This window comes from Homo sapiens, chromosome 16, assembly GCF_000001405.40.
Source record: "Homo sapiens chromosome 16, GRCh38.p14 Primary Assembly".
Lineage (NCBI taxonomy): Eukaryota > Metazoa > Chordata > Mammalia > Primates > Hominidae > Homo > Homo sapiens.
The window spans coordinates 53,819,481-53,841,632 of record NC_000016.10 but is presented as its reverse complement, the minus strand read 5'-3'; the positions used below and the strand labels follow the sequence as shown (position 1 = coordinate 53,841,632).

General features: G+C 40.0%; 1 protein-coding gene across 25 annotated transcripts in view, besides 1 other annotated feature; it reads right to left on the bottom strand.

The window, feature by feature from the left end:
- FTO (FTO alpha-ketoglutarate dependent dioxygenase) overlaps nt 1-22,152 on the bottom strand; it is a 417,979-nt gene that overhangs the window by 280,309 nt on the left and 115,518 nt on the right. For 14 of the 25 annotated variants that reach the window (XM_017023656.3, XM_024450437.2, NM_001080432.3 and 11 more), the window contains one exon: nt 15,142-15,769. The exons of 1 other annotated variant lie outside the window; for it this stretch is intronic. In XM_017023656.3, coding sequence (XP_016879145.1) covers nt 15,142-15,769 — 628 coding nt within the window. Of the gene's footprint in view, nt 1-15,111; nt 15,770-22,152 lie in introns of all 25 variants that reach the window. 10 more of the 25 variants (XR_007064911.1, XM_047434606.1, XM_011523314.4 and 7 more) reach the window with 1 other exon arrangement.
- Nucleotides 13,338-14,015: an enhancer, noted in NCBI's record as "OCT4-NANOG hESC enhancer chr16:53861530-53862207 (GRCh37/hg19 assembly coordinates)". NCBI's record gives its function as "activates a minimal SCP1, AML or CMV promoter by ChIP-STARR-seq in naive H9 embryonic stem cells {active_cell/tissue: H9 hESC(naive)}" and the evidence as "EXISTENCE:reporter gene assay evidence [ECO:0000049][PMID:30033119]".

The window sequence follows — 22,152 nt, the reverse complement described above, 5'->3', positions numbered from 1 at the left end:
AACTCCCCTTTGTAACTATTCATTCACATTAATTTGCACTAGGCATGGTGAAAATGAACACATCAGAAAGCCAAGTTCATGGTCTCTGCAAGGAAGGAATGCTGCTAAGTGACTTTTAAGGATACATCTGACTTTGGATACTCTTTCCCCTAAGTTTGGTCTGAAATCTAACACTGCCATATTAACAGTATCTTACCTTTTTTCATACCTGCCATTCTAATACATGTTTTCTCCAGTACTTTTTAATTAAGAACATCTTTTAATTAGGTTTTTTTAACAGAATAACAATAAAAGTCCAAAGCCATTTCCTAGGTTAATTAAAAAAACATTTTTTATAAACCTTCTAGAATGAGAATGATAAATACCTTTATATCAGGGGACATGACTGATTGGCTGGTTGCGGCTTTTTAGAGCCCTAGTGGAGAAGAAATCTGAAACTTTCTCCTAGCTCAGCAGGAAAGAGTGTTATGATCAATTACTGATGTCTGTCATGGGCACTACAAGGGTTAGTGAGTGGCAGCACCAGCATTAGATAGTTGCTATCGATGTCTGATGACATTCTACAGGCACTTCTTATTCATACATAATATACTGTTACACTTGAAAATACCAGAATTTGCTAAACTGGAGTTCATGGACCAGAAAAGAACTCACGAAGGTGTGTAGCTTGACCTCAACCATATTTCCTTAACAAATCTAAATGAGTTGCCAACTGATAAAAGGACTTTGCCTAAAAATCCAAATTCCCAGCTACCCTTGAATTACAAGATCTGGTATCACTGAGCCAGTCACAGTGGCTATAGGGAAGAAGTAGCTGCCCATTTTAGACAAGGACGTGACCTTTGCTAGTCGCAGTCCCCACAGCCACTTCACTTTACTCATTTGAGGTACCTGCCTAACCACAGCAAAGTCTGTGACCCTTACTCAAGAGCTGGGTTGCAGAGATCACAGGCAAATCAGTCCCGTGACCTGCTTTTGCAAAATAAAGTTTAACTAGAACACAGTCATGCCCATTCATTTACATAAATGGCTGCTTTCACACAGACAGCAAGGTTGAGTAGATAAGACACAGACTATAAAACCCACAAAGCCAAAAGTACTTGTTTCTGGCCCTTTACAAAAAAAATTTGCCAACACCTGTTCGAAAGTCTTGATATTTGTGATCTGATGTCTACTGCACATTTTAGTAAAGAAGTTGAGGCTGCATAAAATAATTATGATGTAATGTGACTAATACCTAATAATGTAACATGACTAATGACAGCATACAGTATAATAATTAATGCTAAATTAATTGATATCCAGATCACCTTAGCAAAAGAATATGATATAAAAATTATGTTTATATTTGTGATAACCCAAGACTTGGCTGCTTCATTCTAGGGGGGCACTAATGATTACAGATAGAGCAAACAGCACAAGAAAAAAAAAGGAAATATTTTAGGAAGGTTTTTCACATGTCCCTTTCTGGTCAAATCAACTATAACTTCTACCATTGAAGTCCACACAAAATTAAAAAGAAATAAAAAGGCCCAGGTGTGGTGGCTCACACCTGTAATCCCAGCACATTGGGAGGCTGAGGTGGGTGGATCACGAGGTCAGGAGATTGAGACCATCCTGGCCAACATGGTGAAACCCCATCTCTACTAAAAATGCAAAAATTAGCTGGGTGTGGTGGTGCGTGCCTGTAATCCCAGCTACTCAGGAGGCTGAGGCAGGAGAATCGCTTGAATCCAGGAGGCAGAGGTTGCAGTGAGCCGAGATCGCGCCACTGCACTCCAGCCTGGTGACATAGTGACACTGCACCTTAAAATAAATAAATAAATAAATAAATAAATAAATAAATAAATAAATAAAAAAAAAGAAAACCAATTATAATGACTTGAAAAAAATAATTTTCAAACTGTAAGGAACAGTTTTTATGAAGTTTTAATGCCACTGCGTGTGGACAGTCTAATAAGTGGGAATCTTCATAGGGTAACAGTCTGCTTGACTACTTTCCCTTCTAACTTTCATCCTGGTACTCTTCTCAAGCTGGCATCAATAAAGACAATTAGAGACAATAATTGCAATTAGTCTTTCTCGATGTCTCCCAAAAATCCAACACCTTTGAAATCTGCTCAGTAAAATGATAGTTTGGTGAGAGTTTTTCCCCTCCTTAGGCTGTGTAGGGAGGAGGAAAGTTTCACGTCTGATAAACTTTTTATTGTTAAATATAGTGTTCTTACTTCTCAGTGAAATCAACTTGTAATTACCTATAGCAACTGTAACTGATTACTCTTGCCCCATGTTATTTTGGCAACAAGCAGAGGCAACAGGTTCTTACTTGCCTTTAAGCCTCAATAAAATTGAAAAGATTTTAAGTACCTCAGTGTGTTTGGTGCACTCCCAGCTCCCAGCTCCCACTAACCAAACTGTTAAATAAGTAGAAGATGTGACAACATACAAAAGACTGTTAAGTTTAAAAGTCAAGTTTAAATTGTCCAAAACTTCCCCCCAAAATTAACCCATTCAATGTTTTATGCCAGCTAGTTTTTGAGAAAAAATTCTATTTAATAAAGCACAAAATACTTTGTTTACATTTCTAATTATAACCACGGCTCTACAGGAAACAAAGACAGAAGCCAGAGTATGACAGTAGAGATTACAGTGATACTCAAATAAAATATATCACAAAAAATTTTGTACCATATTTAATAACATACATAATAGTGTATGTCAAGAACTTCCCTCACAGGTTCAGTACATATTCATCATCACCATACATTTAAATAGCCCTCTTTCTTTCTTTTTGAGACTAGAGTCTCGCTCTGTTGCCCAGGCTGGAGTGCAGTGTCGTGATCTTGGCTCACTGCAACCTCCACCTCCCAGGTCCAAGTGATTCTCCTGTCTCAGCCTCCTGAGTGGTGGGGATTACAGGCATGTGCCACCACACGTGGCTAATTTTTTGTTAAAAACAGCCCTATTTCTTATTCTCTACTTTCTATTTCCTTAGCCAAGAGCTAAGATACAAAAGATTCTCAGCTTGGTGTGGTGGTTCACACTTGTAATCCCAGCACTTTGGGAGGCTGAGGCAGGCAGACCACTTGAAGTCAGGAGTTCAAGACCAGCCTGGCCAACATGGTGAAATCCCGTCTCTACTAAAAATACAAAAATTAGCCGGGTGTGGTGGCACATGCCTGTAATCCCAGCTACTCAGAAGGCTGAGGCAGGAGAATCACTTGAACCTGGGAGGCAGAGGTTGCAGTAAGCCAAGATAGTGCCACTGCACTCTAGCCTGGGTGACAGAGCAAGACTCCATCTCAAAAAAGAAGATTCCCACCCTTGTGATTACTTCCTCTGTTTCCTTAACTCCACACCTGGAGGAGCTTTAAAAGGCTGGTCCCTTGCTATCCATGTCACAGATCTTGAGGCAGGAGAAACTCACAAGTTGTAGATGGCCAGCTGGTACCATGGAGTCTAATGATGCCTCATCTGTCCAGTGCTGATCTTCGACATTCCCATGTCTGGGATGGGAAATCCATTTTGTAGAACGAAAGGAGACAGAAGGCAAAAGGGGAAAGTGTGACATAGGGAAGGCACATTCTAGGAGGGAAATGGCATGGTGTGTGTATAAGAGCACAATCAATTCCCAGCTGCAATAGTGTCACATGAATGGCATGGACTTGCAAGAGAAGAGCCTGGAGAGGTGGGTGGAGACCAGGACATGGGTTTATGAACCATAGGAAAGAATCTAGAACTTACACTGAGACTACTGACAGACACTAAAGCCTTTTTCACCAGTCAGATCTGTTTTCAGAATGATCTCTCTAGAAGGTACCAGCTTCTTCGTGCATAATTACTACACTTTTTCTAGACACGTTCCCAGCGTAGCAACAAATGGGTACTGTATAAGCCAGAGAGCATTTAGGAAACACAGCTGATGGACTACATCACTAGGAAAGAAAGATTAGCCAAGGAGAAGCCTCCCTGCCAGAGTTCTAGAGTTTAGAAATGCTTTCCTTGACGGGTTGCAAGAAAAGCTTGCTGCTGACACAGCACATACTCCTTCTCAGCCACGGAGCAATGAATGGTCTGAAAAAATGGAGAATTTAGAAAAGTCTGAAGGGGTGAGAAAAAAAAACAAACTAATCATTCCCAGCTCAGAATCTATAACAAGAAGCCGCTCTCAGATGCCTCGAAACAAGCAATTCAAGACAAACATAGTCCCTTGACACAGATAAATTGTAAAATTAATTATAAGTTTTCTAGGATTTCAGGTGAAATATTGAAAACTCTTTACAGAAAAATCTAAAGCCCTTCAACATCATGTCTGGCTCTGTCAGCTTTCAGATTAAGCATTTGGGGAAAAAATTTAAGATAAAAATATTTACATTACAGAGGAGAACCTCATTACATCATGTTTCACGGACTTGGGAGAAAAATTGAAAGTATGAAAAGGAGAGAAAAACTGCTATGCGGGCCATTAGCTAAAGCTTCAAAATCACTATATTATCTGAAGTAAAATATGAAATCAGGTAAGGAAGCAGAGATACTTCTCAAACAATATTCTCCAAACCAGAGCTTCTAACAGTAGAGGTTTCAATTCCTTGGGTAACCTCAGGAAGGTATAAAGAGAGTTGTGGAGACTCACAGGAAACCCTTACGTTGTAAATAACACAGAAACCAGAACCGAACTGGGTTAATCAAAAGAGGGTCATTATTTGTTCATCTAGCTTCAGGTAAAGCTTGATCCAGAGTTCAAAGTACACACCCAATACCCAGTTTCTCTCCTCCCCAAAGCTCAGGAAAAAGAAAGAGAGAGTGGCCACAAAAGCTGGGGGCAGTCATTTGGGGGCCATGAGCTTTAGAATGGCCAAAAGAGGAAGGGGAAGAAATTTGAAACTGATCACATCATTACTGTTGGAACAAGGTCCACTTGAAGCCAGTGAGACGCCAGTTCTTAGGATGAAGTGAGAGAATTCCTTACCTTTTTAAATTAAGCCTCTTTGGGTCTGGAATTATTATTTGCTATCAAAAGAATCCTATTACTAAACAGAGACTGCAGTTGCAGAAATCAAAGAGTTACTGAACAGTGGCCACAATGTAACTGAATAGTACAAGCTCCTCAAGAACAACAAATACTTAACAGATTTGGGGCAAAAAATACTCATTTGCCACTATATACGGATACAAAGAAGGATGAAGACACAAATTACTTCTTTTAGGAGCTTACAAGTTTACAAGTCTAATTCAAACACACATAAAACTATTTATGGCCTTAGAAGTCAGGAGAGTGTTTACTGTTGTGGGGAAGCAGACACTGGAAGGGAGCACTTCTAGGACGCTGATATGTTTCATTTCTTGACCAGGGTGCTAGGTACACAGATATGTTTACAGCAATTCTTCAAGCTGTATGTTTATGATATATGTCATATTTCAATACTGAAAATTCAACAGACAGGCCAGGCGCAGTGGCTCATGCCTGTAATCTCAGCACTTTGGGAAGCTGAGGCGGGCAGATCACCTGAAGTCAGGAATTCGAGACCAGCCTGGCCAATATGGTGAAACCTTGTCTCTACTAAAAATACAAAAATTTGCTGGGCATGGTGGCCCGCGCCTGTAATCCCAGCTACTCAGGAGGCTGTGGCAGAAGAATCACTTGAACCTGGGAGGCAGAGGTTGCAGTGAACTGAGATTGTGCCATTGCACACCAGCCTGGGTGACAAGAGCAAAACTCCATCTCAAAAAAAAAAAAAAAATCAATAGACAGGTTGGAAGTTAATAAAATCTCCCAGATATTAGACTAAAAAACAAACATAAAGATTGAAAATAAGGGAATAAACAAGAAAACTAGAGGAAGAGTCCAGAAGGTTAACTAAATCATATGGATTCCAAAGAGATGAGAAAACTGGAGAGGAAGAAATAACTAACAAAGCAATTCAAGAAAATGTCCAACAACTGAAGGGCATGATTGAAAGCCCTACACAATGACAGTAAAATGAGTGAAAAATATCACTGTGAAATTGTAAAACATTCAAAAAAAGATCCAACAAAAAAAGCGACATAAAAGCTGAAGAAAAATTCAGAACTCTTAAAATGAACACTGTAAGATAAAAGACAGTAATGCAATGTCACTACGATTCTGAAAAAAAATATTATTTCCTAACAAGGTTTTCATACTGGAAGAACCTACATATACCAAGGTGGAATAAAGATGATTGAAGACATTTAAGGTCTTAAAAATTTACCTCCTAAGCATCTTTCTGAAGAAAACATTGTAGGACATGCTCCACCAAAATAAGAAAACAGTCAGGAAAGAGCAAGGCCAGGATGCAGGAACGTGAGGAGTTCACAAAAGAGAGAAGTAAAGGAATCCGCTGGATTACAATGAAGAGGTCACAGAAAGGGATCCCCATGCATCAGGCATAGAACACCAGATTGGAGCAGACAAGAAGACTCTGGAAGACAGTGCTCCAAGAAAATGAAATGGACAGAATATCTGATGGTTCTGAAGCTCTTAAGAGGAGATGTGGTAGATAGCAAGGGATTTAATTAGTCATAACTACATAGAAAACTATACAAATACACAAAAAGCAAGACTACCATTAATGCAAGAAAAAAGTTGAAAAGAAAAGGATAACAGATCACAGGTTTTGGAAGGCATTCTCATGTATATATATGATAACTATAAAGGCTGAATAGTGATATAATCAAAATTACAGTAAATCTATAATGGGAATCAGAAGCGTGTACATGTGTAGGCAGGCAGGGAGAAAGAAGAGAGCTAGGTAAATCTTCACCTTCCATATCAGGAAGCCAATATATAATGTTCAAAACAATGTAAGTATGTTATCAACTACCAAAAGCATTACCTGAAAGAAAAGAGTAGAAATGATTGCCTGTGGAAATGAAAATGGGAAGAAAAGGTGTAAAAACTCCTGCTTTTTTTTCCTTAGCAAACCTTATAAAAATATTTGACTTGTAAAAATGATATGAATGAATAATTTTGATAAAAACTAAAAATAACACAGTATTGAATGCTTACTATGTGCTAATTACTGCTGTTATGTTCTTGGCACTTTACAAGTGTTTAATTCTCACAATCTTGAGGTGGATACAGCTCTGATCACTATTTTACAGATGAGAAAACTGAGTCACAAAGAATTTAAGTAACTTGCTTAAGGTCCCATAGCTAATTAATACCAATATGAATGATGTCATTCAGTAGTATAGAATTTAAGTGCCTCATCAATGTCATGGACAGTAAAGTCTATTCCACTGTTCTCTGATCCCGTGCTCATCACATTAATATATCATCAAAAGTTCAGGCCGGGCGCGGTGGCTCACGCCTATAATCCCAGCACTTTGGGAGGCCGAGACAGGTGGATCACAAGGTCAGGAGATCAAGACCATCCTGGCTAACATGGTAAAACTCCACCTCTACTAAAAATACAAAAAATTTGCCGGGTGTGGTGGTGGGCGCCTGTAGTCCCAGCTACTCAGGGGGCTGAGACAGGAGAATGGCGTGAACCTGGGAGGTGGAGCTTGCAGGGAGCTGAGATCGCGCCACTGCACTCCAGCCTGGGTGACAGACCGAGACTCCGTCTCAAAAAAAATAAAAAAAAAAAGTTCAGCTATCCTTGAAGAAAATATTGCAAGTCATATATCTGATAAGGAATTAATATCTAGAATACATAAGGAACTCACAAAACTCAACAACTAAAAACCAGCCAAATTCAAAAATGGGCAAACAACTTGAATAGACATGTCTCCAAAGAAGATATATAAATGGCTAAGAACATGAAAAGATGTTCAACATCATTAATTATTAGGAAAATGTGTATCAAAACCACAAGGAGATACCACTTCATACCCATTATGATGGCTGTTATCAAAAAACAGGAAACAGTAAGTGTTGGCGTAGATGTGGAGAAATTAGAGCCCTTGCGCATTGCCAGCGAGAATATAAAACAGTTCAGTCGCTGTAGAAAACAGTACAGCAGTTCCTCAAAAATGTCAACATAGACCTATCATTTGATCCAGCAATCCTACGCAAAAGTACATACACAAAAGTATATACACAAAAAAAGTATACACACAAAAGTACTGAAAGCGGAGATTCCCACAGATATTTGTATACAGAGATATTTGTTCACAGCAACTTTATCCACCATAGCCAAAAGATGGCTATTATGAATAGCCGATGGATGAATCAATCAACAAAATGTGGTATATTCATACAATGGAATATTAGTCATCTTTAAAAAGGAATTAAATTCTGATACATGCCATAACATGGATGAATCTTGAGGACACTATGTTAAGTAAAATAGTTGTATTAGTTTGTTTTCATGCTGCTCATAAAGACATATCCGAAACCGGAAACAAAAAGAGGATTAATTGGACTTACAGTACCACATAGCTGAGAGGCCTCTGAATCATGGCAGGAGGCAAAAGGCACTTCTTACATGGCAGTGGCAAGAGAAAATGAGGAGGAAGCAAAAGCGGAAACCCCTGATGAACCCACCAGATCTCGTGAGACTTATTCACTATCATGAGAATAGCACGGGAAAGACCGGCCTCATGATTCAACCAGTTCCTCTTTGGTCCCTCCCACAACATGTGCGAATTCTGGGAGATACAATTCAAGTTGATATTTGCCCAGGGACACAGCTGAACCATATCAATAATCTAGACACAAAAGGTCAAATATTGTATGATTCCACTTACATGAGGTACCTAGAATAGTCAAATATAATACAGACAGAAAGCAGAACAGTGGTTACCAGGAAATGAGGGAAGGAGAAATGGGGAGTAATTGTTTAAATGGGTACAGAGATTTGGTGTGGGATGATGCTTAATGCCACTCAACTGTACAGTTAATATGGTTATAATGATTAATTTTATGTATATTTTATTGAAATAAAAAAGGATACAAGGGAATGAGCTACTGATATACATAACAACATGGATGAATCTCAAAATAACTATGCTAAGTTAAAGAATCCAGACAAAAAAACCGTGCACATATATAATTCCATCTGGTTAAAATTCTAGAAAATGCCAACTCATCTAGTGACAGAAAACAAATCCAGGCTGACACAGTGGCTCACACCTGTAATTCCAGCTCTTTGGGAGGCTGAGCAAGGAGGATCTCTTCAGGCCAGGATTTCAAGATCAGCCTGGGAAACATATTGAGACCCAGTCTCTACAAACAAATAAAAAACAATAAAAAAAGAAAACAGATATGTCAGGAAGAGGAATTGCAAAGGGGCACAAGGAAACTTCTGGAATAATGGGTATGTTCATTATCTTGATAGTGGGGATAGTTTCACAGGTGTGTTGAAACTTATAAAACTATAAATGTTCAATATGTATAGCTTATTGTATGTCAGTTATTCCCGAATAAAGCCATTCACAGAGGGGAGAAAATGTAGCCATTCTTACAGGCTTAGCCTTCTCTTGACAAATGGGAGATGCCACTGCTGGTTATCCTTTCTCACTGGTGCTGAAACACTGCCACTCTCTTTGTTGGTAAAAAGTTACAGGACTGTATTTACACATTTCTCCCCTGCTCTGCCTCTTCTGATCTGGACCATCATATCCCTAGTCTGGATTACTTTGGTCACCTCTGTGAGCTCTCCTGTTTCTGGTGTTGCTTCCCTTCTTCTACTCCTCAGTGGCTCCCCATCTCACTCCAAATCCAAACCTACTACTTTGTATTCTAACATGACAAAGCCCTACCTTCTGCCACCCATTTACTTGTCCCTTTGTCTTCATTTCATTTCCTCTTCTCTCACTCTATTCCATCCACACTTGTTGCTTCTGAAACATCCCAATCATGTTCTATCTTCCCGCCTATGTGCTCCCGCTTCAAATTTCTCAGTGGCTCATTCTCTCCGTCCAATCTGCTTAAATGTTACCCCTTTAACAAGGCCTTGCCTGGCTCTCCTACCTAAAATTGTAAGATTATCCCTCACCCTTGTTACACAATCTACTTTTATTTTCTGTTTTCCCTTGCTAGAATGTGAGCTTGATGAGGGCAGGGATTTTTGTCTGTTTTGTTCACTGATACATGCTCAGCATCTAGACAACTGACTAGCAAATAGTAGATGCTTATTGTTAAATGAAAAAATAATTGCATAGGCATGAAAAAAATGTAACTTTGTAGATCAAATAAGTTTTTTCCCCCCCTTTGGTCTTCTTGTGAGCCTTCTTGGCTCTTCATGGGAGACCTTATTGTTAGATGAATAAATAACTGGATGGTCACCCCCAAAAATGTGACTTATAAGACCAAACAAGTTTTACTGAGCAGTATAAGTGATTTCAAAAATCACTGACAAGGCATAGCATGATACAATAAAAAAAAGCTAGGTCAAATAAGCTTTGAGATTTTAGACAGGGATGCTGGGACGCTAAGATAACATTAAACATCACAGCGTTTTTATGAATACTCCAAAACTCCAAGCTGTAATTATAAACTAGCTTTTCATGGTCTCAGTGATGAGCTGAGAAATATAGAGCAAGTCATGTTAAAATAGAGATTCAAGAATTACGGGAACAAATTTCCATCCTTAAGGGGATGCAATTTTTCCCAAATCAAAGACATGAATGGAAATCCTAGAATTCCAAGAACATTATTGCAAAGTCTCTACTTTCCAGCCTATCACATGCTCAACAGGAAACATGGATCGGTTTCTTCCTTTTGTGAGCCTTCCTGGGTTTTGGATTTTTGTTTGTTTCTTTGTTTGTTTTGAGACGGAATCTCACTCTGTCGCCCGGGCTGGAGTACAGTGGCGCAATCTCAGCTCACTGCAACCTCTGCCTCCCAGGTTCAAGCAATTCTACTGCCTCAGCCTCCCGAGTAGCTGGGACTACAGGTGCGCACCACCATGCCCAGCTTATTTTTCTATTTCTAAGAGACAAGGTTTCACCATGTTGGCCAGGCTGGTCTTGAACTCCTGACCTTGTGATCCACCTGCCTTGGTCTCCCAAAGTGCTGGGATTACAGTTGTGAGCCTCCGCGCCCAGCTGCCTTCCTGGCTCCTTGTGGGAGGTCTGGAAAATAATGTCAAGAATATGCAATACTTGGCACTAGTTTAAAATCTTAAGAATTGCTTTTCTTTCTAGAAAGACAATTTCACAGAAAATGTTTCCTTCCAGACAAAGAAACAAAAATGGTAGCCAATAGTTACTGTTGATCTAAGTGATGTTTCTGAAGGTGTTCCAGTCAAAGAACAAGGTGCTGGACCATATTAAACATTGGGTTTTTAATGCCTTCCCCGCTAAAGTTCGTTTTTTATAGCTAGGAGTAACAAGCAATTGCCAGCAAAGCTGGAATAGGAAAATCAAATATTCTGCCTATTTACATATGGTTCCCCGAAGCCATTCCTGATTAAAAATTGTACCATTTCAATCTTCCTACTGGAGATATCTATTAACTAGAACGGCATGTGAAAGCCAATGAATTTAGTATATAATTACACGTATCCTATACAAATTACTTCTCAATGACCTCTACTCATGAAAATAAACCAAAGAGGGATGACTGGCTCATTATAAATCTACAAGAAGATTTCCCTGGGAAAAGGTATTGAGAGCAGAGTCTTGAAAGATCTTAAGCTTCAACTGAATTTAATTTCAGCAGGAAGCAATCACTTCTGTATCTGAATTCCCAGTGCATTTTACGTGAACCTCTCCAGTGGCAAGGAACACTTTCCAACTTAAATCCCTGCTCTTATCACTAAGTAGCAATGTGACCTTGGCCAAGCCACTTCCCTTCTCGGTGTTTTCATTTGTAAAATGAAAGGCTAGAATCAAGTGATTTCAAAAGTCTCTTTCAAACCCAATGTTTCATCATTTCATAATTATAATCACGAGAGCCCACCTATTACCTCCCTATTACCTCAAAGTGAGAAAGCCATTGATTTATCTTTGGAGTTCCCATACTGTCTAGAACAGCTCATTGACAAACAAGTTCAAGGACACAGAAAAAAATACAATTCTCTGAAGTGTCCACTCTCTATGACCTCCTTAAGCCCTTCTCAACCTCAACCAAAATTTTAAACCAAATGATTCTCTTCAAGTCCACCTTTGCCATAGTTCTGGCATTCTGCCAAGGATTATAAGACCAGAAAACTAAACAGATATCACTTGTCACTTAGAAGACATGCGCCCACCATAGAGTTTCAAGGCACATGCTTTGTACACCATCTGACCCAGAGCCACATGCTTTGTATGCCGTCTGACACACAGCCAGACACCTACAGAAAGGTTCTGTTTCATCGAATAAGATAATCTGATGCATTCCAATCATCTGAGAGTATGTGCTGGAAAGCTACAGCAGATGTGGGTGAGAAGTAAAGCTGGAGAAAGGAAGACACCAGGACCTGAAAGAAAAAGCAAGTGGAATGTCCCCTTAACCTTTCCAGAAGGTGGACATTTTAAAAATCCAAGTCCCTGGCCAGGCGCAGTGGCTCACACCTGTAATCTCAGCACTTTGGGAGACCAAGGCATGCAGATCACGAGGTCAGGAGTTTGAGACCAGCCTGGCTAGCATGGTGAAACCCCGTCTCTACTAAAATTATAAAAAATTAGCTGGGAGTAGTGGTGCATGCCTGTAATCCCAGCTACTCGGGAAGCTGAGGCAGGAGAATCACTTGAACCCAGGAGGCGGAGGTTGCAGTGAGCCGAGATCGTGCCACTGCACTCCGGCCTGGGAGATAGAGCAACACTCTGTCTCAAAAAATTAAAAAAGTAAAATAATAAAATAAAATCCCTGAGACGGCTACACTGCTGGGATAAGAAATACCTGCTCATAATGCACATAGCCTTAGGTGTTAAGATTCTGAAGCCTGGATATTTGTCCTCAAATCCTAACTCTGCTAATTACTTGCTGCATCACCATGAACAAGTTAATCAACCTTCTGTGACTCAGTTTCCTCATCTGTAAAATGAGGATAGCAATAGTACTTCATTACTATTTTGTTCTTTGAATTGTTGGGAAGACAAAATGAGTTAATGCATGTAAAATGCTTATAACAGCATGTAGCACGTAGTAGGTGCTCAATAAATGAGCATTCCCAGTATTGCTATTATTATTAGATGGAGTTCTGAGAATTTCTGCAGTTAAGAGAACAAAGGAGGCCGGGCATGGTGGCTCAAGCCTGTAATCCCAGCACTTTGGGAGGCCGAGGTGGGCGGATCATGAGATCAGAAGATTGAGACCACGGTGAAACCCCGTCTCTACTAAAAATACAAAAAATTAGCCGGGCGTGGTGGCGGGCGCCTGTAGCCCCAGCTACTTGGGAGGCTGAGGCAGAAGAATGGCGTGAACCTGGGAGGCGGAGCTTGCAGTGAGTGGAGATCGCACCACTGCACTCCAGCCTGGGCGACAGAGCGAGACCCCGTCTCAAAAGAAAAAAAGAAAAAAAAGAGAACAAAGGAGTTTGCACACCGCTCTTACAGATTCAAATTCTACAGTTCCCTCTTTAAGTACCAACATTTCTATATTTATATGTAATTTATATTTGTATACTTTGTCAGTCTTAATTACTCCTGAGCATAGAAACTATTCATTAGACATTTAAATTCCTTTCTGAAAGATATTCTAGGTTTCAAAAACTACTTGATCACCCACGGGAAGGGAGTACAATAGGACTATTAAACTGGAGGGCTCAGAGTAATTGGGAGCACAAAGACATCTTTGTAGAGCTTTGTACTATCACATACCACTGCTTCAGGTTTGGAGAGTTGTCTCCTTAAGAAAGAAACTAACTCCATTGTTCGTTCACATCAGAGTTCTTGGATGTGATAGTTCTTAAATCCCTGGCAAGTCCTTATTAAAGATCAGAGGATCTCCGTTCTTTCCATTAGGACAGCGTTAAATCCCTTCAAGCGATTTTCTTAGGTCAGCATCATTATTTGAGATGCCAGAGAAAGTGGTGAAATTTCCAAATGCTAAACTAGTTCCTTGTTTCAGACTGAAGACATAAGATAAAGTTAGAAAAAATATTAGTAGTTCTGAGGAAATTTTTGAGACTGGGAAATTGTAAGAAATTTAAAGAGTACTTTAAAGATCTTTTTTTTCTTAAATCTCTTTTCCAAAACAGTAATTTTAGTAAACAAATAACAACAACAAACAAAAATCCAATCAAATAACTAGAGTTGTCAGAAAATAATGACCCTGGAAAGTTCCAGTCATTCCCTGATGGGATATCCAGAATTCTGGTTTTCCAAACATCTTTCAGTAAATCAGACAGGAGAGCTAATACTATGTCTTGTATCCCTTTGCCAAATAATCAGACACAAAAGAAAGTCAACAGAGGTCATGCTCTCCTCCATCTGTTCAACTACCATTTTTGTAATTCTATTCTAAGGAAAAATGAGGGCCATAAACACACAGAAACAATAATAGAAGAAGAGAAATGTGGGTGGGCTACTAAGAGGTAGCCTACGATCTGTTTCAAGGGGATTATACATCAGAAAATGCAAGAACAAGTCTACCACAGCCACCCAACAAGGTCTAAAACTGCAGAATTGGGTAAAGAGCTAGGGAGTTTCCTGAAAATAGAGGACTGTCTGCTTACAAAACCTACCTCAACTGCTTCTGGCAAGGAAGGACAGTAGTTACAAACTATAGGAAGCCAAGAACAAGTCCATATTTGACAAATCACACCCATCAAGATAGTGATGTCAACCATAATAAAATATTTTGGCAGGTCTGGAAATGTGCACCTGTGGGAACCTGGAAAGATTTGACAGATTTTTGTTTTCCCAGCTCTTTATCAGCAAGTTAATTATAGCAACTGTACAATCTCCTCTGAGCTGTAGAGAAGACAGTCGGCTGTATGAAACCAAGAGGCTGCTCTCCTGGGCACAAGAGAGACAAATGACAGCAGTGCTTACGTGCGAAAATATTCTGAGTACAGTATAACAATGAGCCAGCTAGCATGGCCAGATGAGAAAGAGGCATATTCTGCAGACATACAGGTGTGACAAGACTAAAAAGGACACATGATACACACACACGCATGTGCATGTACACACGCAAGCACACATGCAAACATGTTCATGTATATGCGTGTGTATCTCCAGAGCCTAAACAACTCGGGTCATATTATTACATACAGGGCTGCTTTTTCCAAGAGCAGACTGTACCTTCACAGCTATAACTGTACACTGCCACCGCTGACCTGTCCACCAGATTTTCATCATGATGCCAGCTCACTGCCATTTTCCCCATGCCAAAATAAGGTTCCTCTTTCAGGTATGGCATTTTCTGAGGATCCATGAAATTCAGCAAAGTTACGTTGTATGCTGCTCTGCTCTTAATGTCCACTTCATCTTGTCCGTTGTAGGATGAACCCATCCCAACCCTGGGGAAATCTGCAGACATACACAATGGCACAGCATCCTCATTAGCCTTCTCTTTGGCAGCAAGTTCTTCCAAAGCCTGGATGGTTTCTATCTGCAGGTAGTCATTGAGCTTGAGGAAGGTCTCACAAGCAGCGGCTATTTCAGCCTCGGTGTGTTTTATATTAGACCCTTTCACTGGCCAGGGGACCGTAAAGAGCCTGGTGTTCAGGTACTTGTAGGTGCAGCCTGGATTACCAATGAGGATGCGAGATACCGGAGTGAGCAGATCTTTGCCTTGGATCCTAACCAGGTCCCGAAATAAGCAGCCATGCTTGTGCAGTGTGAGAAAGGCTTCTTGAACCTCTTTATGGAGCTCCTCAGATACACTGCTGGCTTCTCGGAGAATTAGTTTAGGATATTTCAGCTGCCACTAAAACAAAACCAAAGCAAAAACAGACGTTGATATATAGCTACAATTGTATTATTTCCAAAGGTGTGTTTCTTTGTAAGCATTTGGGGAGTTGTGGGGGGACTACCTGGTGGCTATTTCTAAATAGGAGTCACATCTTCCTAGCCCAAAACAGAAAACCAAATAAAACAAATGTCATCAAACTCTAAAGTCAAGATTTTCAAGTTCAAGCTCAAATTACTAACAATCTTTAATAAAAAACAAAAAATAATAATGTGTGTCCTGATACACCAGGATTATTCTGTGACCACTTTTTCTCACCCTAAATCTCAACACCATTTTATTAACTGCTTATTATCTAAAATATTTATTAAGTGCTTACTACGTACCAGGTACTGTTGTAAGTTACTTGTGTGCATTAGCTCATTTTAACTCTAGGCATAGTATTATTATCTCCAGTTTATAGATGAGACCACTGAAACACAGAGACATTAATCTGACCAAAGACATTAATTTGCCCAAAGTCACACAGCTGGCAAATACTGGAGCTGGAATTTAAAGCCCCTGGACACCAACCCCTGGCTTCCAGGGCACGAGTTCTTAACCATGAGAATGCATTGTCTCAATAAATGACAAACTGGTTTCTGCTTAACACTTTCACAAAAAGAGAACTCACTTCTCTTCAGGAGTTAGACATTAAGTTCCATGAACACAAAAGCCATGGCAATTTTGCTCATGACTATAATATGAGTGCCCAGAATTTACTCAGTAAATGGTAAAGGAATGAATAAATGGATTTGTGCATGGATGAATGAGGTATTATTACATTGTAATTCTACAAAATTCTAATAATTCTACTGGTGTCACTGGAGGAGAGTAATATTGGTCAATTCCCTTCCCTAATACAGAAATACATGGAATGATTAATGTAGGTTAGGGCTGCATTAGCTTTTCGGCTACCACTTTCCTTAGGACTTGGCATGTGAATCGGTGTCAGACTGGAGTTTCCTGATTCTGTAAAATGCAACTGATTTATTTGTAACCAAATCACAGGATTTTACATTTACCTCTGTAACGTTTGATCTGATTTGTTCCTCCCTAGTTTTAGGCTGTCTTAAAGAAAGAGTCAGACATGATCAACACATTAACCTGTCCTCCCTGTATTGTGTTGCCCACCATTGTTAAGATACCTTCCTTCTCTGTCTTCATTTAGTAATTACCATTCACATGATAGGCAGGGCAAGACCAGTATTCTTCCAAACGTTTTTTTTTTCATGCAGCATCTGTTTATTGAGCACCTACCACCAGATGGAAACAAGGTCCCTGTTCTCACAAAGCTTTCTACCAAATCAAGTAAATAAATAAAGAAAAGCAACCCCAAATTGTGTTAAGTACTAAGACAGAAACAAACCAGCAGGAAATCTTATTAGAACAGGAAGAATTCTCTAAGGAGACGGGATTTAAGCTGAGATCTTCAGGAAAAGAAGGCACCAGAAATATGACAAGCCAGAGAAAGTGCTTCCCAGAAAGACAGACCAGAGAAGCCAAAGGCACTCAGGAAAAAGACCAACCTATTCTAGGGACAAAAAAAGGCTTGTTTTACTAGAGCACAAGAGCCAAAGACAGAGTGGCATGCTACGAGGAGGCAGAGGAAGGCGGAGGCCAGATCACACATAGCCCTAGAGGTCGTGGTAAGGAATCTGAAGCTAACTCTAGATGCACTGGAGGATGTAGAAGGGAGAAAAATAACTTGATTTACATCTTATACAATCGCTCTTAGTTATAATATCAGGCACAGATTGGAAAGAGGCACATGTGAGCGTGGAATGTGCTATTACAATCATCTGGAAGAAAAGTGATGGTCTGGACTAAAATAGAGACAAAGATAAGTGGACAGATGAAATACATACGTTGTAGGTAGAACTAAAGGATGTGCTTATGAATTAGATGTAAGGGATAAAAAAAGATATAAGTCTTTTGGGGTTTTTTGGGTTTTTTTGAGATGGCGTTTCGCTCTTGTTGCCCAGGCTAGAGTGCAATGGCATGATCTTGGCTCACTGCAACCTCCACTCCTGGGTTCAAGTGATTCTCCTGCCTCAGCCGCCCGAGTAGCTGAGATTACAGGCATGCGCCACCACACCTGGCTAATTTTGTATTTTTAGTAGAGACGGGGTTTCTCCCTGTTGCTCAGGATAGAAGTTAAGAATACATTCCAGATTTCTGGATTTAACAACTAAATAAACAATTTACTATTCTGTGAAATAAGGAAAACTGAGGCAAAAGAGAAATAGTAGAAAGAAGAAAAGGGGGAAATGAAGAGTTCACTGTAGAGCTGCAGCCTTGAAGATACCTATGAAACCTCCAGGTGAAAATATGGTGGGCGGGGGGAGGGGAATTGGATGTACACATCTGGAGCTCAGAAGAGAAAGCAGGGCAGAGGAACGCAATGTGGGAGTGATCAGCACACAGCTTGGTTTTAAAGGCCTAGAAATGAATGAGATCACCTAGGGAAACAGTACAAATATCAAAAGGAGACCAAAGCTATTTCCTGAGTCGCAGCAGAAGCCTCAACAAAGGAGAACCAGCAGAGTGTATTATTGCAGAAGCTAAAAGAGGAGAGCATTTCTAGAAGGGCGGGGTACTCAACTATGTCACCTGACACTGAGAGGCCAAGTGAGATGAAGACAGATGATCCAGTAGATTTGGCAGCATGAAAATCACTGATGGCAATGACACGAGCAATCTCAGTAGAGTGCTGGGGGTGAAAGTCAGATTGGAGTAGGCGAAGATGGAATGAAAGAGGAGGAAGTGAGATGGCATGTAGAGATGTCTCTGAATGGTTCTGCTATGAAGGGGAGTAGAAAAATGGAGCTTTTGATAAAGAAGAAGGCTAGACTAAGGGACAATCTCTAATGATGGAAGACGCTAGAGAACACCAGAGTTTCTCAGTACACTCATGAGAATGATACAAGAGAAAGAGGCTGACGATGCAGAGAGAGTGAATAACCAAAGAAGTCGAGACCTTGAGTGTCTAGAGCAGTAGCCCCCAAGTCAGGTATGCAAGGCTTTGTAAGGCCATCTGGAAGAGTGGTGGGGCACAGGGGAGAGGTAGAACTGCTTTATTTTTAATATAAAATGAAAGAACTCAAGCATTATTAAAATATGTATGCATATATATATATACACACACACATATACACACAAATAGGTTTAATATGAATATTATTATAAAACAGACACGAGTACATGAGTACTACCACCAGCACACTACTGGTGGTGTGCTGGAGTCAGTCCACACTGGCTCATGAGAGCCCACTGTGTGCATCTCTTTCCAACTGCACATTCAGTAACACCGTGACGGTGGCTTGAAACTGTCCACAGTGAGAGTATTTACACTGCGGAAATCAAAAAACACTAAAAATCAAGGCTGGTTCTTTCCCCCTACAGGCCACTTGTTAAACACTTTCTAGGATGTCACTGTATGTGCTTATCTACTGATAAGAGTATGTGATCAAAAATATGTGGATAGGAGAGAAGATACTTCTTATATTGGAATAGGCTAGAAGGAAAAAGAAGGTATGAATTCAGATAGGATGATAAATGTAATAATAGTAGGCAGATGAGTACGTTCTAGGGTTTCTTTTGGAGGGGTGGTAGTTAGAGAATGCTCTGACTTTCTCAATGAAGTTAAGGTGAATCACTAGCTAAGAATGTATGCTGGTCATTAGAGCTGTTTGCCAAATAGTTCTGGATTCCTCCTCTGCCACCCAGCTTTTTGGGCCCAGTGTAAAATTACACTTCCTGGTCCCCTCAGGATGGATGAAACATGGGATTACTTCTGTCCAGTGAAAAATGATGGCCATCCCTTCCAGCCTGGAACATGTCATTGTCACTGCAAGACCCTCCAGCATACTCTGCACCCCTCTGCCACAGCAACCAGCTGGTGGCTGCTTGGATCTCTGAGCTACTTTAATGGGTAGTGACTCTGTGCCAACCCACAAATGATACATAAAATGGACAAGAAATATTATTGTGTGGAGCCACTGAGATTTGAGAGTTATCAGTTACTATAGCATAATCTAGCCTGTTCTGAATGAGGCAGAGTGCAGGAGATATTATAGAAGACATGCAGAAAGTGGGAGGAAGTATGCAGAAGAAAAATGAATGAGTCAAGTCTGAATGTGAAAAAATGACTTTACTAGGTAAGTGTGGTAGGACTGCCCTGCTTCTCAAAATGCCTATCTGAGGTGTTGACCATGAATTGAAAGTGACAAAGAGAAGAGTCATGTGGCATACCACTATGGATTGTCATTGAGATTGTCAGGGATCCATTAAGGATTGAGTTTCCATATTTTAGTTATCCCCATTGGAAAACAGAAACAGTGATATCGTACTTTCTATTTACATAGCTTATGAAGAAAGCAATGCAATCCTGTAAGCAGAGACCAAATATTCTGAAGCCATGAGCAGCAACTCTAATTCTATCACTATACTGGTTACTTTCTTAGCAAGTCCCTGAGGCCCCAGTATACTCAAAGCAATGATGAAGAAGTGATGAAGAAGGTAATTTCTTCACACTGTCTTAACACCTCCAGTACTCTCTGAATGGTCCTTAGTATAAAACAATAAAGAAAAGTATGGTAATTCCCAAGAACTCTGTTTCTGAACACACTCCCCTCTGGGACTAAGAAAGGAATACTGAAAATAATGCACTCATATGCACAAACGCCTGCCCACCCCCCATTAAAATTCTGCTGCCCTTATTCAACATACACTGGGTCTCAACACTGCATAAGATATATTTAATATGGGGAAATTATAACCCTATAGACCAGGAAAAACATATAACCACATAAATATCATCTGTAAATACCTTGACATAAAAAACAGCATAAAAAGAAAATAATGGCATGGGAAAATATTCCATTTTTTTCCCACTCAGATCATGTCCCCTTTCTCTCTGACCATATGTGCTTCTATTCCTGCAGTCCTCAAGTGTCCAGCTCTTAAATACTTCCCCCAGGCTCCTCCCCCAACTCCACACCTGGATGGTCCTTCCCATCCCTGGGTCATTTTCTTATAGAAACCTTTCCTGGACATGGATGAAACTGGAAATCATCATTCTCAGTAAACTATCGCAAGAACAAAAAACCAAACACCGCATATTCTCACTCATAGGTGGGAATTGAACAATGAGATCACATGGACACAGGAAGGGGAATATTACACTCTGGGGACTGTTGTGGGGTGGGGGGAGGGGGAGGGATAGCATCAGGAGATATACCTAAAGCTAGATGATGAGTTAGTGGGTGCAGCGCACCAGCATGGCACATGTATACATATGTAACTAACCTGCACAATGTGCACATGTACCCTAAAACTTAAAGTATAATAAAAAAAAAAAGGAAACCTTTCCTGAATCTCCACCCTCAAATAGGTGCCCTCTGTTATCACTCCCCACGCTTTACTTCTCTTTTGTAGCACTTATCTATTTGTAACTATATTTATTTAAACTATTATTAGTTTAATAATCTGTCCTGTAAGATCACAAGCTCCTAAAAGAAGATAGTACTAGTGGCCTGGAGCGGTGGCTTACACCTGTAATCCCAGCACTTTGGGAGGCCGAGGCAGCTGGATCATCTGATGTCAGGAGCTCGAGACCAACCTGGCCAACAAGGTAAAACCCTGTTTCTACTAAAAATACAAAAACTAGCTGGGCGTGGTGGCGGGCATCTGTAATCCCAGCTACTCAGGAGGCTGAAGCAGGAGAATCACCTGAACCCGGGAGGTAGAGGTTACAGTGAGCCGAGATCACACCACTGCACTCCAGCCTGGGTGACAGAGCAAGACTCCATCTCAAAAAAAAAAAAAAAGAAGAAGAAGAAAATAGCATTAGTATCTGTTATAGCCACATCACTTGGTTCCACATAAGTGCTCAAGACTCCTTTCTAAGAATAAAAGCTTTAAAAGACTGAAGCAGATGAGTGGAGATCTTGGCTGGGGCAGGAAAGAAAACTAAATGTAAAGAGGCATGAGAGATCTTTTTGGGGTGCTAAAAATGTTCTAAAACTACTGTGATGATGGTTGTATGCCTCTGGAAATTTACCAAAAATCACTGAATTGTACAATTTCAAAACGTGCATTTTATGGTATGTAAATTATACACATATACAGTTAATCAATAAACTTTTTGAAAAAGAAGATTGATAGATGTGAATATCTGAAAATTTAAATTTTTGTATAAAATAAATCATAAAATTAAAAGGCAAACAAACTGGAAAAAAAAAGTACAACCTATATGGCAGGAATGCAGAAACATTAATGCAGAACCATTAAAAATTTAAATACACACACACACACCCATTCACAAGCAAATTAATAGAGAAGCCTCTTAGCACATAAAA